The sequence below is a fragment of the Homo sapiens genome, chromosome 5, assembly GCF_000001405.40.
Source record: "Homo sapiens chromosome 5, GRCh38.p14 Primary Assembly".
Lineage (NCBI taxonomy): Eukaryota > Metazoa > Chordata > Mammalia > Primates > Hominidae > Homo > Homo sapiens.
In genome coordinates, this window is record NC_000005.10 from 73277475 (window position 1) to 73291935 (window position 14461).

At 44.8% G+C, this 14461-nt stretch overlaps 1 long non-coding RNA gene across 1 annotated transcript in view, besides 2 other annotated features; it reads left to right on the top strand.

The window, feature by feature from the left end:
• LOC124901002 (uncharacterized) overlaps positions 1–12589 on the top strand; it is a 76128-nt gene extending 63539 nt beyond the window's left edge. The window contains exons 2-3 of the long non-coding RNA XR_007058818.1: positions 9013–10208; positions 11093–12589. This is a non-coding gene — a long non-coding RNA (uncharacterized LOC124901002). The remainder of the gene's footprint in view (positions 1–9012; positions 10209–11092) is intronic.
• Positions 11112–11956: an enhancer, noted in NCBI's record as "OCT4-NANOG hESC enhancer chr5:72584413-72585257 (GRCh37/hg19 assembly coordinates)". NCBI's record gives its function as "activates a minimal SCP1, AML or CMV promoter by ChIP-STARR-seq in primed H9 embryonic stem cells {active_cell/tissue: H9 hESC(primed)}" and the evidence as "EXISTENCE:reporter gene assay evidence [ECO:0000049][PMID:30033119]".
• Positions 13200–13701: an enhancer, noted in NCBI's record as "NANOG hESC enhancer chr5:72586501-72587002 (GRCh37/hg19 assembly coordinates)". NCBI's record gives its function as "activates a minimal SCP1, AML or CMV promoter by ChIP-STARR-seq in naive H9 embryonic stem cells {active_cell/tissue: H9 hESC(naive)}" and the evidence as "EXISTENCE:reporter gene assay evidence [ECO:0000049][PMID:30033119]".

Here is a 14461-nt window from a genome sequence, read left to right on the forward strand (position 1 = left end):
ACACCCAGACCTGGGCTGAAATTGCTCCTCCATGGCCCCTAAAGACTTTGCTGAACCAAGGGCTCTGCCTCCGGGATCTGCTAGACCTGTCATCTCTGGGCACTGCATGAGTAACATCTCCAGGGTGTCTTCCAGCTTCTCTGATTAACTCTAAGCACTCCAAAGTGAAAAGTTTGGAAAAATATCAAAAACATCATACAAATACAAGAGACTCCTGTCATACAGCCTTGCTCCATTCAGGATCCTGACTACTCACCATTGTTCTCTTTCCCCTTGTTCAGCTCCAATTCTGAAAGACTGAGTGCTTGCAAAAATACTTAGGTGATATGTGCCAGCTCTTGCCTACACACAAAATTTGAACAGTGAGCAGCTGTGGGTGAGCACCTCAGACTCCAAACCTATAAGCCCAATTGCAGCCGGGTCCTACCCTCCCATGACAGGGAAAGAGGCTGCTTCCTCTGTTCATGACCAACCCCTCCACTTGTTCTCTGGATTCTTGCTTCTTGCCTCTTTCCCAATCTCTCTTCCTTTCCCATATCTTCTACCTCTCTCTGTATATACTAGTTCTTTCTCTTTGGCATTTAAATACACTAAAAGCCTCTTCCAATTGGGGAAACAGATGCCATGGATTGATTGTGTTATAAATTTTGCATGAGGATGGAGCTCCATGCTGCATCCTGTGCATCTAACAAAGTGCTGGGCCTTCCGGGGGTTGTAGGCCCATTAGGAGATGGCATCTTCACTGAAACCTGATAGACATTCTGCAACATTTCTTTCAATTCTGACCTCTCCCTTCAGTTACTGGGCCCCAGGCCCCTCCCTCGGTGGACAGGCATTGTTTCTCCAGAAAGACCTCGGATTCCTTGTGTGTAGAATGTTGTTGGTCTTCTGCCACTGAGCAGTTGCTGGCTGGGTAGAATGATGGTGGGGAAGGCCACAGCAAGGCACTGGGCCCAGCACACTGTTTAGCTACCTGGGTGTCTCCTGGAGCATGAATCTTCAAGACACACTGTCTCCATGCACCACCAGTCCTTCAATGGTGAGGTTCTGTGTACCTCGTTCCTTTATATGGGGGCTACCTAAATGTGTGCTTTATGTTGAAAGAACTAGAACACATCCTCGGTGCGTCAGTGGGAAGTATTTGGAAAACTGACTGGAATTTTATAAAAGTTGTTTCCATTTTCCTAATATAAATGTCCATTAGCATTTTTCAACCATCCTTCAGAATTAAAGGACTAATTCTTCCACTTGAGTCAGTGTAAGGGAAATTTGATTCATTTCCCTAAAACTTCCCTCACTTACCTAGAAAGGTAGTTGCAACAGTGTTGAAATTCATCAGCTGTTGAACAGTGTAAAACCCCACATCTGAGGAGTGCCTCACTCAGGTGACCTTGGAACGTCCAAGTGAACAGGTAGGTTGGAAGGTGGCCAAACCGCAGGGTTTTTAAGAATCTAGTATGATGTCAGTTTGCCAGGGGCTGTTGTCAATTCTCATCTGAAAGCCAGAAACTCTCCTAACTGTTGAGCCTCCCATCTGCCATCATCACGGGCTGTCCCACAAACAGCTTGCCTCGGCACGAGGCCGCCACCTTCCACTGAGACTTTTTGTGAATTTGATTCCTGAGGTTGGCCGTAAGCTTTTTTTGAGGCACAGATGTTTTCTAAGGTGCTGGTGCTCATGCCCCAATTCCCTCATCGCCACAGGCCCACCCCTGTCTCTTCACCCACCCTATGCACCTCTTCTGGGCACCACTTCCCTTCCTCCCCCACCCCATGGTCTTGGCATATCCTGGCTAAGCTGAGCTGTTAATGTGTTGAATTGTGTTGAAAGTAAAAACAGAGGTCTGAGAAAACAATTAGCCCTGAAACACACCAGGAGAGGCCCAAGAGAAGACCCCTGCAGTCTGTTACAGAGAGAGGTGACAGCTCCAGGCAGCATGCTTGTTTATCCGTGTCTTGGGTGAGTGTGTGCGTGTGTGTGTGTCTGTGTGTGATCTCGTCCCCTTCCCTTCACCTTTGCCCAGATGTGAGCATGGGCTTTGTTAATAACAAGTGATTTTGACTTTTAAGGGTGTCATGTGTGCCTAACCTCTGGTGTATGTGTGTCTATGTTAAAAGGACACATGTCTGTGTCTGGTCACATACGTTATCTGGGCCCTCCCCTGTGCAGCTCTGTTGGTTAGGAAGGGAGAAAACCTCCCTGAATGATGTGTTGTGTGTGACTTTTCCTGTGAGCTCTTCTGACGCCTCCTCAGCCCTCTCCCGCTTGCCATCTCTGGGCCATCCACTCCCTTCAGGATTTTTCTCTTCTGGATCAAACTGCCAAAGTCCACTTTAATTTTGACTCCAACTTTGAGATTGACTTAAGTTTTAACAGTAAGAAACCCTTTTGGTGCTAGTACTCCCTAGCTCTTGTTTCCCAGATGAACATTTCTTGGGGCAGAAGGAAAAAAAAAAAAAAAGAATTAGACTCCTTTTGCTACATAAATAGATGTGACATTCAAATCCAGAGTTAAATGGAATTTCTCGAACATTAGCAGGCTTGTGCAATGACCTATGAAGTCAAAGTCACTAAAGTTTTCTGATTAATTAGTTGCATGTAGTAACTTTAGTGCTCTAAAAGAAATGAAAGAAAGAAATAAATAAAACACTTTGCAATACTGGCTACCTACTAAGATTTACTAAGATTCTAGAGAGGTTTACTTTCCTCTGATGATATTGAGGGCTTTTCTTTGTAGGGAGCTGCTGGCAACTGAGGATTTTGCAAACAGAATTCAGAAGGGAGGGAAATACTTCATGATGGCGTGACTCTGAGCCAAGCATAGCATTCACTAAAAGGCTGCCCAGCCAGGTCAGCATCAAGACAGAGGGGTGGCATTTATGAAATCTGAAAACAGGGCCAGAGGGTTCCAACGTGATGGAGACAGACACTATTGCCAGTCTTTGCAAGTGACAGCCACCCTGCAAATATTAGGTGGCAAGTGGGATGCTCTAGAGCTGAAGTAGTAAGGATGTGAGGGAACATAAGAGTGGCCGAGAGTGTGGGACATTCCAGGAGAGGGTTAGGCAGGGTTTTTGGCAGAACCACAGGTCCTAACCCAGTCCTGCTGGTTTAGACAACAAGTGGAGTTTCTGTATAGGCTGGCCATCTGGGCTGGGAGAAAACAGAGAACAGAAACCTTAGCACAAAAGGGTTTCTGACCTAGATGCCTTCAGTCCAGAAGAGCTACAGAGCTGGGGTGGGGGGGTGGGGCATGTGGGGGCCCTGAAAGGAGACACTGCCCAGTGGTCACAGCCTGGGTGGAACTGAAGAAGTCAGTTGGCCCGTGAATGGTTTTTCTTCCTGCCTGTCACACCAAGGGGATTCTCTTCCTATGTAACGTAATAAATTCCCCTATAATCTCAAGATGCAGGTAACAGCTTGGCCCTGGTGAGAAATGGCTGGCTTCATGTTTCCCCCAGTATGATTTCCTGTACATACAGCGAGGGGCCCTGCCCACTCTCCTGCAGAGCTCGGGAGCCGAGCCTAGAAGGGAAAAACAAGGCTGATTCATGTTTGTGATTAACTTCTCACCTAACGCTGTAATCCCATACATGGAACTGGCCTGGCTTGTCACTGCTTGGCTGGGACCTCGGTTGTTGGAAGAAGGGTAGGTGGCCGCAGATTCTGCACCAACACTGCCAATGCCACCCTTGCCACCCTCTGTGGGCGGTGCCTCCAATCCCCTTGCTTTGGGACGCCTTTTTCTGTCTTTCCCCCTGTGTGGCCCCATGGCATTTTATTTGCACCTCTTTCATGGCGTTTGCCTTTTCTTCACTTGCAGTTATTGATGAACTCCCTGAGGCGATGGAGCGGGGGCGGGGGTGCGGCGCAACCATGTTCTCCTTCTCTTTAAACCTTCTCAAGTGCCAAGCCCAATGCCAGGCCCAGGTTTAGTGCTCAGCAAATCACAGTGAAATGAACTGAACGGCAGAGGATGACCTCCCTGGAACAACTGCCCTGGATAAAAAAGAAGCCCAAATCAAATTCCAGCCCCTGGCCGGCAGGGCAGATGCGACCTCCCTCTGCTTTTCTCGACAATAATCCTGGCCCCTTGTTATGATAAACTACTTGCTCCTTGCTTGGCAGTACATTCAGGAACTGGACTGCTGCCAATGAAAACACAGGAGTGATGGTAGGACTATTGAAATAAATTAATGGCCTATGACAAATACAGGAAAAACAGTGCTGGTTAATAAGCTCAAACGCCAACAAAATCACATGTTATTTAAGAGGAGGAGGAGTTTTTACATAAATGTGTGTGATTTTAAGTAATAAGAATGATTTTTAAAAACCCAAGTAATTCATAACCTTTTTAGCCGAGTAAATGCTAGCCCTTTAAAGTTGATATCAATACTTTGGGAAGCTGCAATTGCCTAAAACAACTATACTACTCTTTTTGGCAGCCTTCAGGGCTGGTTCAGGAGGAAAATTAAATCTATTACTTGATAATTACGCTTTTTGGTTTAAGTCCCAAATGGTATCACCCAATATGATTACTGCCCTGACCCACCAGATTTGGCTCTAAATTATTTTTGATAGTTTCCAAAAATCAGATGCACCCTCAATTAAACCAAATCTTTGCTATTCCTCAGGCATGCAAAAGAAGGTACTGTAAATTCTGGAGTTCCAAAGAGAGATTCCAAAACTGTTTCATGACCAAGAAAAATGTCAGTGTCGACCTCGCAGGTGACCACCGCAAATATGCAAGTTCGGATTTCTTTGTTTGAAGATCTGTCATGTCATCTTAGAATCAGTGTTCATAGTTGCTCATTCTGGGCAGACTGTCATCAGGTTCGGTTTGCACAAAACAGTTGACCCGAATCAAGGAATTTAAACTTTGAATACTAGACCAGCTATGACATTTGGATCAGTGGGAGCCTTTGCAAATCAATATGAAAACTCGAGCAGCCCACACGGGTGTTTCACCAGCTGGCCACCCTGCAGGAGGCACATGCAGTGAAATAACTAAAAGCAGCCTCCTTTACTTCTAACCTGGCATAAATCACTCTGGTTCGATTTCAAGGGGGTGGGATGTGCAGGAGTGCCGGCGTCAAGCCCCAGCGCTAAGTGGCTAATCGAGTCCCTTGGTCTTCTCAATGTGTTATTTAGGGCTGGTTTACTTTCCTGATGGTGGAATGCTGTGATCCACTTACAGAAGAGAGTAAACACACTCCAAGCACTAACTTCATGCTTCATGCAAATTGAGCCCCAAAGAGGCCTGGGTGGTAGAGGAAAAGCTCTGCTATGCTGCACCTTGGGAAAAATGAGCTGGTCAGAAATCTGTTATCCAAGATCTAATTCATGTTATCCCAGTAGGTCTATCCCCTTTTTCTCTCTCTTCCTCACCCTTCTAGGAACTATAAGTGAATGCAAGAGCAGTAATTGACTGTGTAAATTAACCCATTTGTTTGTGAAGCTAAAGATCTACTTCCTCCACCCCCACCTAAGACAGTGGGAATAGTAACTCCCAGTTCCCCCACAACCCTAGGGCACCTCCAACCTGTAAAACTCACCTGCTCTGTCACTGTCAGCTTCTGGTGTCTACTTCCTAGACTGAAGGCAATACTGGAAAGGTCAGATTCAAGGGCTTTCAGGTTAGTAAAACTCCAGCTGGCATGGCTTCCACCATCTCATTAATGAAGAACAAACACACACTAACACTCCTTGGGAAAAGTGCCTGCTGGCTTTCTTCCCTTATTACTGGGAATAAATCAGCAGAGATCCACAGAAAGGGGAAGGCTAGGAGGAGAAGATCTCCAAGACATGATCTACACCCAAAGGCATCCTTGACCATAATACCATAAAGGGATATCAAAAAGAGCTAACACTTTTTGAAACCCAGGTGGCCCCTGACCTAAGCTATAACAACCCCAGGTATAGGCAGGTCTGGGTCAGCTATCCTATTGCCCACTGTTCTTCAAAAGATGTTGCTGAGATTCTTACTCAGTGTGCGGGGGTCCACAGATTGGTGGGAAGTGGGTGAAAGTGTGACTTTCCAGGGGCTTCCATTCCACTTGGGATGATTAAGAACATAGATTCTGAAGCCAGACTACCTGAGTTTGATTCTGGGCCCTACCACTTACTAACTGTGTGACTTTGGGCAACCTACTTAACACTTCTGTCTCTCAATTTATATTTCTGTAGAAAGGTTATAATAATAGTACCTTCCATGTAGGGTCACTGTGAAGATTAATGAGATCAAATATATATCTAGGCCTAGAACAGTGTTGGACAGATAGACTGTGCTATATGAGGGTTAGCTGTAAGGATTTGGAGAAATACATTATACGTCAAAAGTCATGTCCAGTTAGAACAAAGCCATATACAAGAATGCACAGGAAGAATACTTTGGAATTAGACAAAAAAGAGAAATCCATGGGATTGAAGTAGGCAGAATGGACTTCTCAGGAGAGGTGGGGCCTGAATCCAGGACTTTCAGGGATGGGATGGGCATAGTCTACTCTGACCCTTTTTCTCTAACCTAGATTGACCACCCATGAATATGGGGCTGCCACCCCTAAGGAGGACCTCAGGCATCTTTTCCCTAGCAAATGTTCTGGATCTGCCCACTCTGTGGCTCCCTCCCCAGCTGGCCTTTTGGCTTCATCTTTGATTCCTGGCTCTTACCCATGTGCTATTGGATCAGGTGAGAGATTTCAGTTCAGGTTAACATACTTTAGGATGGGTCTATGCTGAGTGAGGAACTGGGGCTAAAAAGGTGAGCACCTAACAATATCAAATATCCTCTCAAGAAGTTCCTAGTCAGTGTTGACAGAGGTGGGAACAGTTTTATAATTCACTATGTTGGGAGTGGTTGCTATGGGAGCAGAGAAGGGGAGGGCTTGGCCCAAGGGCAGACAGAGAGATCAGTGACTCTTCAAGGGCGACAGGGACAAGCCAGGGCCAGGGGCCATGATGAGCATACAGGGCGAATGGCAGTCCAGACAGGAGGAAGTGCTTGAAGTTTAGTTTGGATTCCAACACTCTCTGGGAACACTGGGTGGTGCTTTCCTTTTATCTCTCACTGCCTGCAGCCCCTCCGAAAGCTCCAGTTGGCCAGGGTTGATGAGCATCTGTGCTGGGCTGGCCACAGGCCTCCTAATGAGCCAGCTCCAGACTGGGCAGGGTGAAGGGCTGGCGGGGGTGGTGAAGACTCTCCAGGCAGGAGGTACACCATAAGGAAAGGCTGCAACAGGAAGGTCCAGTGGAGCTGTGGGCACAATACCAACGTTAAAACCCGATCTCTACCATCAGTTAGCTCCGTTATCTGGAGCAAGTTACTTTGCTTCTCTGGAATCTTCATTATAAAATAGGTGAAATAATACTTGGAGAAGTGGTTCTGGGGCTTGAGTGAGATACATGAGGAACACCCAATAAGCACCTACTACTATGTGCTGGGCTGGAAGGGGTTGGCCAGGTCCCAGTCCCACTCTGTCATTCTGCTGTCTGCATTCACAATACTAAATGGCACTTAGATCATTAGCTGTCAAAACAAATCAGGGAACTCAGGACACTTCTCTTTGAAATAGCTTTTAAACAGCTAGTGTTTGATAAAGATTAGGCAGTGAGAGTGTTGGTCTTTACCCCAGGAAGAGCCCAGTCAGGTTGCAACTGTGTTAGACTCTCCCAGAGAGCCCTACTGAGCTGGGAGGGCTGGCGCCTGGCCTGGAGGAAGAGTCTGCGGGCTGCAGAGTTGCACATCCTGCTCAGCCTGAGGAGGTGGCTAATTAGGGCTGATTGTGAAGAGGGTTTGATGACGTGGACACCTACATGGGAAACTTTGTATGCAGACCACCACTTCATTTCAGGCAGGTCATGAAACAGCTATTGGACAAGAGCATTCACTCACTCACTTTAGATGGCCTAGGTGAAATGCTCCCTATCCCAGCACCAAACCTAAGCTATCTATTTTCCCTATTCCTGCAACTTGAATCAGCCTAGTCAAAAATGCAGAAGTCTGGCCTGAAAATTGCCCAAGGAGAAGAGCGAAAAAGAAGGAAGAAGAATGCTCTTTTCATAGGGCCGTGGCATCGTTTACGGTGTTCCCAACATTTGAACTACTTGAGATTAAATAGTAAATAGTTCAACATATAAACAAACGTGTGAAGAAGCAACCTCTTACATTGCTGGTAGGGGTAAAAATTGATGTAAGTCAGTTTGGCAATATCTATCACAATCTCACATTTTGACAAATGAACACTTTATGAAGTAGTTCCACTTCAAAGAATTTATTCTACAAGTGTTCTCACTTGTGTAAAATGACAAATGTACCATGTTACTTTTCAATTGTAGAATTATTTGCAAAAGATTGTGAACAATTTAAATATCAATAGAGAACTTGACAAATAAATTACAGAGTAGAATATTATGCAGTTATGTAGATGGTGTATGTATGCATGTGATGGTTAATTTTTCTTTTTTTGATATGGATTCTAGCTCTTTCGTCCAGGCTGGAGTGCAGTGGCACTATCTCAGCTCACTGCAACCTCTGCCTCCCGGGTTCAAGCGATTCTCCTGCCTCAGCCTCCTGAGTAGCTGGGACTACAGGCACATGCCACCATGCCAAGCTAACTTTTTGTATTTTTAGTACAGACGGGGTTTCACTGTGTTAGCCAAGATTGTCTTGATCTCCTGACCTCGTGATCCGCCCGCCTTGGCCTCCCAAAGTGCTGGGATTACAGGTGTCAGCCACCGCGCCCAGCTGTGATGGTTAATTTTATAGGTCAACTTGACTGGGCTAAGCAATACCTGGATGACTGGTAAAACATTATGTCTGGGTGTGTCTGTGAGAGTGTTTCCAGAAGAGACTAGCATTTGAGAAGGTAGGCTGAGTAAAGAAAATCCACCCTCCCTAATGTGGGTGGGCATAATCCAATCTGTTGAGGGACTGACTCAAACATAAAGGCTAAACAAGGGCAAATTTGTTCTGTCTGCTTGAGCAGGGACATCCACCTTCTGTCTTCAAACAGCAGAGCTTCTGGTTCCTGGGCCTTCAGACTTGGACTAGAACTTCACTACCAGCTTTCCTGGGTCTCCAGCTTGCAGAGAGCAGATCGCAGAACTTCTTAGCCTCCATAATCACGTGAGCCAATCCCTCATAATAAATCTCCTTGTGTGTGTGTGTGTGTGTGTGTGTGTGTGTGTGTTTGTGTGTCTGTACAGATAGATTCTGTATCTTATTGGTTCTGTTTCTCTGGAGAACCCTAATACAATATACATGTATGTCTACATTCTATGAATGTATATATCGCCAAGAAATGTTAAGTCAAAAAAGCAAGTTGCAAAACAGCATGTATAGTATGCTACCATTTGTACATGTGTGTAAACAACTCTGGAAGGATCTTCAGGAAACAAATTACATTGATGGCTTATGAAGAAAGAAGCTAGGTGGCTGTTGGGGCAGAAGAGAGACTCAACATTTACTTTTTTATACTCTTTGAATTTTGAACCATGTGAATGTGTAACCCATATAAAACATTAAATTTTAAAAAGTCACCTTAAAAATAAATGAATACTGTCCACTGACAGATAAATGGATAAGCAAGTGTAGTATATGAATACAATGGGATATTGTTCAGCCTTTAAAAGGAAGGAAATTCTGACTCATGCTACAACATGGATGAACTTTGAAGATATTATACTAAGTGAAATAAGCCAGTCACAAAGGGATAAATATTGTATGATTCTAGTTATATGTGGTACCTAGAATAGTCAAATTCATAAAGACAGAAAGTAGAATGGCGGTTGCCAAGAGTTTGGTGAGGGGGTAGGAATGGGGAGTTATTGTTTAATGGGTACAGTTTCAGCTTTGCAAGATCAAAAGAATTTTGGAGATTGCGTGCACAACAAGTGAATGTACTAAAACTACTTGATATGGTTTGGCTGTGTCCCCACCCAAATCTCATCTTGAATTGCAATTCCCATAATCCCCACATGTCGTTGGGGGTACTGGTGGGAGGTAATTGAATCATGGGAGCAGTTACCCTCATGCTGTTTTCATGATAGTGAGTGAGTTCTCACAAGATCCAATGGTTTTATAAGGGGCTTTTCCCCTACCCTTCATTCTCATTCTTCTCTCTCCTACCTCCATGTGAAGAAGAACGTGTTTGCTTCCCCTTCCACCATGATTGTAAGTTTCCTGAGGCCTCCCCAGTCCTGCAGAACTGTGAGTCAATTAAACCTCTTTCCTTTCAAAATTACCCAGTCTCAGATATTTCTTCATAGCAGTGTGAGAATGAACTAATACACTACTGAACTGCACATCTTGACTGTACATGGTTAAGATGGAGGCCAGGCACAGTGGCTCACGCCTGTGATCCCAACACTTTGGGAGTCTGAGGCAGGAGGATTGCTTAAGCCCAGGAGTTTGAGACCAGCCTGGGCAACAAAGCGAGACCCTGTCTTTACCAAAAAAAAAAAAAAAATACATATATATATATATATATATATATATATAATTAAATTAAATTAAAAAATTGCCAGGCATGGTGGTGTGCACCTATAGTTCCAGCTCCTTGGGGAGCTAAGGTGGGAGGATGGCTTGAGCCCTGGAGGTTGAGGCTGCAGTGAGCTCTAATTGCACCATTGCACTCCAGCCTGGGCAAGAAGTGAGACGCTTTTTTTCTCTCAAAATAATAATAATAATAAAAATGGTTAAGATGGTAAATTTTATGTTATATGTATTTTACTACAGTTAAAAATAAGAAAACTATCTATAAAATAAATTTTTAACAAAGAACACTTGGTTACATTAATTTAGTCATCCCACCAATGAATGTTCTGATTGCAGCCACCTAGTGTGATGTGTTAGAGGACTTTCGGGGCCTAATTCTCTGCCTAGCCTTTCCCTCAGCTTTAGCAAGGCCAGATTATCTGATTGCTCTCTGCTTTTGTTTTTTCATCTGAAAAGTAGGAACACGATTTTCCTACCCTGATACTTTAACTGGATTATTGCATACTGATGTTTTTCTACTCAGGTTCCTAGCCATTATGGTAACATCAACCTGCAGGAATTGTCTAACCTTATTTTGTGACTTTCCCCTTATCCAGGCTTTGAAGAAGACCACTGCGTCGGTATTTGTGAAATGTTTTGAGCCTCTGGATTTAAATAAGGTGAAATATAAAGGATCCTTTTCACTACTGGGCACGCCTAACTGCATGTCTTCTAAACACTGCTTGTGATGGTCATTCATACCAAAGGACGGAAACAGAAAGCACAGATCACAAAATCCTCTGGCCAAATGGGGAATCTGACCCTGAAACGAAGGAGCAGTGTCAATGTCCTGAGCCCCACTGCCAGCCTCAGCTCTATGAGAAAGGTGGCAGAGAGGTGGCAAGGAGGCACACACAAAAGACTGGTGTTTGTCCTCTCCATGCTTCTGCCAAATCTTATAACCTCCCGTCCCCGACTGGCAAGCCAAATAGTAGCACCATCCCTACAGGTTACATTATACCCTGAAATTAACATTACAAATCAAACCACTTAGTTTTAAAGTGCTTTTCACAAGCCTACTAACTTAATCCATGACTAGTGCTATGGGGGTTGTTAATAGGTTCTCACATCTCCCCAAAACAGCCCTATTTAAGACCCCTCCTCCATTACCCACACACCAGCCTGCCTTCCTCACTCAGGGTGAGGACCCACAGTGAACGACAGTAGTATTCTCCTCTCTCTTCTGTTGACCTAGATTGACCTGAGTGGGGGTTTTAAGACTGATCTCTCTTCCCTCTTCTCATACCAAGTCTAAATTCCACTGCTGGGCTTTCCCTGCCTGCTGTGATTTGACTCTACCTTTCTATACAGCCAACTTCTTACCACCCACACGCTCACCTCTGCCTCAGTCCTCAGGCCTGGAAAGGCCCTTTGAATCTTCCTTTATGCCTCTCCTGCAGATCCAGGCACAAGTCCAACCCTCCACCAGCCTGAATCCGTCTTTTCCTCCTCTGAATTCCTATGGCATTTATAGTTAGCACCCTACAATTTACTGAACCACTTAATTATATGCTCTCTGGCATTGCTCAGTGATTATGTCTTGCTTTTAGTCTGGCCTCCTGAGTAGATATTGAATCTCAGTGGGGCAGAAACTATACTTTATACATGTTTATTGTATCCTCAAGAGCACCTACTATTACTAATGGCAGTCAGCACTTAGTGTATACGACACACAGTACTTTATGTATGCTATCTATTTAATACCACAATATCTCTAACAAGGCATTATCATGCCTATTTTTCAGATGGAAAACCAAAGCTCAGGGAGTTTTACATGGGCAGGCAGCTGGTGAGGGCTGAGACTGGAGCCAGGCCAGTGGTCTTCAAAGGCTTTAGTCAAACTTTTTGACAGATATAAGAAAACCGAACTAAGGAAAATACTTTCCTGGGATCATCCCTATATGAAGTGGCAGACCTGGAATTGCTCCCTGTTTCAAAACATGTAAGCTCCTCAAGAACAGGAACTTTTGTCTGTTTGTTCATTGTTGTATCTCCAATCCTTAGAACTATGCCTGGCTCAAAGTAGGTGCTCAATAAAATATCTGCTGAATGAACAAATGCAATCTAATCACCAAACTTACTCTGAACGCTCACCAAGTGTGAGGCACTGCTCTTATGAGAAAAGTAATGTAAGAGACATTCTAGTTTGTTTGACTAAACCTCACTCACCACAGAATACTCACAAAGGGCTGTCCAGAAACAGAAATGTGATAAAAGCCTGCATCCCGAACTTGGTGCCAAATTTGTACTTTTAGACTTGAGAGGGTATGGAGCTTCCTATTCCCTGCCTGTTCCTCTCCTTCAGTCCTCCCTCCATGGAAATAATCAGCCACCACAGCCCAGGAAGAAAGGGAAGCAGTCCCATACCCCAGGAGCAGGCTGGCCTGCGATATCACATCAGACTCCTGGGATTCCAGAGAGAAAGGAGTCCCTGAGGCCCTGCAAGTCCACCTACGGGGGCTGTAGAGCTGGAGACCTGGGGCCTGGATATTAAAATAACACATGCATATCCACAGGCAGGGGGCGTGGGCCCTGCTCCTTCTGTAGGTTCTTTTAAACATTTATCTTCAGAAGTCTTTATTTGTGCTAAGTCACTTAGATCAAAACAAAAACACTTATTTTTGTGTTTGCTTAAACAACGTAGATCGTTTCTTCAGTTATCTCCTGGCTATATATGTGGACACATCTTAGATCTAGAGACTAAGAAAAGTATTTTCTTGCTGTCCTGTACTTTCTACACATTTGTAACCTGTGTTCATAACAAAGGTAATCAATTTCCCGACAAGTAGTTATTCAAGCTAGGTGAGACAAATAAAGGAGATAAAGAAGTTGCACGATTTAAACAAACAAAAGGAACAGTCAGCCACCAAACAAAGCCCACAGTTCCAATGTAATGATTTGAAATAGTTTTGATCTTTTTTGGTAGGGGATGGGGCCAGGTCATAACCATGTAAAAGTAATGAAAACAAACCAAGACTGCGGGGCCCTAATTACTGTCAAGTTGTCATTTTCTCCAATTGCCTTGAAGGTTTGTTTCTTTTTAAAATTCAGTGTAACCTTACAGGAGGCAATAAGGGCTGGCGAAACGCGGTGGCAGTGGAAACTAGCTGGGCGGATGCAGCAACTTTGGGAATAGTGGGATGCAGGGGTGGAAGACAGGCTGAGGGCAAAGGGGCTGCCAGGGCTTCTGAGGAGGCTCCCAGGAGACTGATAAGATCCCGAGGGGATCGGAGAAGTGCGAGGGTCCAGTTACATGTGCAGGAAAGGTGATGAACCCCAGGTTTTTATACTTGTTCATGAGGCGCCAGCCTCATGCTTAGTTTGTTTCTGAAGCATATCACCCTCACTCTAACTCCTATCTAGAATATTCTTCTCCCAGATCTTCCCGTAGCTGGCTCAGCTTTCACGTCACCTCTTCAGAAAGGCCTCCCTGACCACCAACCTGAAGTCACAACCTAGTTAGTCTCTCGCCCCTTTTCCATGCTTTTTTTTTTTTTTTTGCCTTCATGGCTGTTGGCACTACCTGAACGTTTCTTGTTTGTCAGTATATGTCCTCTGCGCCCCCATACCATGGTGTAAGCCCCAGGAGAGCAGAAACTTCCTTTGTCTACCCGACAGGGCTGAAGCCTCAGAGTCTGGATCAGTGTCAGGTACGGAGAAGGTGCTCTGGTGGAAACCTCAGTGGCAACGTTCAGCTCACAGTGGGAAACTCGGGCCTTCAGACCAGGGAAGGGGGCCGTTTGAAGATATGAGTCTGGAGTGTGACTGATGAAGCCAAAAGCAGGCACAAACTCTCTTTTTATGACCAACTTTGGATAATGAGCTCAAGCCATGTATAAAAACATTCCCCAAAAGTGCTTTTCTAGATGAAAGGGAGAAAAATAGCTAAAGTGATCCATCTTCCTTTCTTTGAGGAAGGTTGGCAC